Source organism: Homo sapiens, chromosome 11 (genome assembly GCF_000001405.40).
Source record: "Homo sapiens chromosome 11, GRCh38.p14 Primary Assembly".
In the NCBI taxonomy this organism is placed as follows: Eukaryota; Metazoa; Chordata; class Mammalia; order Primates; family Hominidae; genus Homo; species Homo sapiens.
In genome coordinates, this window is record NC_000011.10 from 48,271,199 (window position 1) to 48,273,551 (window position 2,353).

Consider the following 2,353-nt stretch of genomic DNA (forward strand, 5'->3'; position numbering starts at 1 on the left):
AAAGAAAAAATTGCAGATGAAGAAATGACATCAAGGGAAGTTAAGTCACTCTTGCAGGTTATATATCTAGCAAATAGGAGAGTCAGCCATTAAACAAGGCAGGTTGACTCCCTGGTCCATGCTTTTAAGCACCATGTTATATCACTCCTTGTATGTCTTATCTAACTCACAGGGTGAAAACACTTCAAAATGCTATGTAAACATAAGGTGGTAGTCAAGGGGCTAGTTTAGTTCAAACTTGTCCCTGCTACTCACAAGAAAACCCAGATGACTTCATGTTTAGTACCAGCTTATTTCCCCAAATAGATGGCACAAAACCATGCCCTATGTATTGTAGTTGCTTAATAACTACATGTAGAATAAATGAGTTTGTGATGACTGAGTACAGGAGTCTAAGACAAAAATAAAAACAGTGGCTTTCATAGCTTCCAAAGTTAGTCTGAACCACTAAGTAAATGTGATAAGGGGGTATGGTGTCTCCATGGCCCACTCCTCTAATTGGAATGCAATGCCCCTGGAGTCTCATTAGCAAGCCTCAAGGTACTTTTACTAAAAATGAATGTGCTATAACTCTTAAAGCAGTGGCACTCAAATTTAGTGATGGCTTTGGCTGGGGTGATACCACATGAGCTTCCTTGAACCCCTTGTGCTTAACAATTCACTGCAACTCTCTAGTTATCTTGTCAGGCTTCTTGACTTTGGTTGCTCACTGGAGGAGGGTGGAGCTCACTAAGGTCAGTTCTCATGTAGGCTTGGTCTTTTGGGGACTCTATCTAGAATAAACCTGAACTGACCAGGGAACCTTGTAGAAAACAGATGTCTTCACTTGCTTTGCTCTGTCCCTGTTCTGTTCTCAGTGCCCACATGGAAGTCCTGCTGCACAGTATTTGAGTATTCCTCAAGATCCTGCTTGGGGGTTTGACATCTGATTTGATTTTTTTTTCTTCAGATTGCCAAGGTATCACTAGAATTCTTCTCCTTAACCATTTTCTTAACCATTACTCATTAGTTGCTGAGAACATGGCCTCTTGGTGATCAGGTGGTCCCACTTCCTTGGTCAGGAGTATTGTATGGCGACTAAGAGGATAGCATTAACGCCCTGGACACTGGGTTACATTTCCTGCTCTAACCCTTACCACTGTGTGAATTTGACCCAGTCACTCAGTCATTTGAATCCTTACGTCCCTCATCTGAAAAATAGAAACAATCATAGTAGCTTCCTCGAAGTGATGTTGAGTGGATTAAGTGAGATGAGGCATTTAAAGTGGTCTGCACAAGTCCAGGCACACAGTAAGTGTTCAATAAGTACAAGCAAATATTACGCTGCTGTGGTTACTGGTCTTTCTACTCATGGTCAGGTTAAAGCTCAGAAAGTAGTTTCACATGTATTTATTCTTTAGAGGCTTGCTAGATGGATGCCCAGACCATGACTGGGAGCTGCTGAAGGCATAGGACTGCAGCGAAGGATGTGTACTTAGAGTAGAGGGGTCAGAGTTTACAGACCAAGGAATGGGCTGCCCTGGCATGTGGTCCCTGATGGCACATTAACTTTTTGCAAATTAGAGCAATTGAGAGTGTATTTTCTTTGAGGTGTAGTCTTAGAACACTTTCTCCAAAGCCCAGACCCACCCAGCAAGGAGCTTTTTCATGTAAATGAGTTCTTTGAATACTTGAAGCTTAAAAGGCATTTAGAAGACTTTTTACATTTTAATCTTTTAAGGTAGAAATGTTTCTAAATTGCATTACAAATTTCTTTTGTATTTCAAAACAATGTATTTGAAAACTGGGGAGAGGACAAATTCAGTGTAATGTGAATCTCAATCCCCTACCAGTTCCCAGGAAAAGTAGTGAAGGGAATTAGTAAAGATGTAAAGCAACTTACTTGCTTCCTAGCTATTCTTAAATTCATCAAATACTAATTCATCATTAAAGTCATCAATATCAGTGAAATTGATTTTGGGGGGGATATTTCTATTTTTCCAGCTTAGAATCACAGCACTTAGTCTAACCTTCATCTTTTTGTTGATGCTGACTTGTTTGTGTAAAGTCAAGTCCAATGTTCATGTCTCTAAAGTTTTTCAGTGGTGTGAGACTGGAGAGAGTAGAAGGGTCTCACACCAGAAGGTTGTAGCAAATAAGCATTGGTTTTGGAATCAGGCAGATTTGCTTTCAATTCCTATTATATGGTACTTGCTATGTCTCACCTAGAGCAAGTCATTTAAAGCTAAACTTCTGGAGTTTCCTTCTCTTCATTTGTATAGTGAGGATGTTGTTAGTTATCTTTAAGAATTGTGATAAGTGTGAACTAGGATAGTGGGTTAAGCTCATGAACAGTGCCTGACCCACACCATCT

General features: G+C 40.1%; 1 annotated feature.

The window, feature by feature from the left end:
- Positions 1,341-1,979: an enhancer, noted in NCBI's record as "NANOG hESC enhancer chr11:48294091-48294729 (GRCh37/hg19 assembly coordinates)". NCBI's record gives its function as "activates a minimal SCP1, AML or CMV promoter by ChIP-STARR-seq in naive H9 embryonic stem cells {active_cell/tissue: H9 hESC(naive)}" and the evidence as "EXISTENCE:reporter gene assay evidence [ECO:0000049][PMID:30033119]".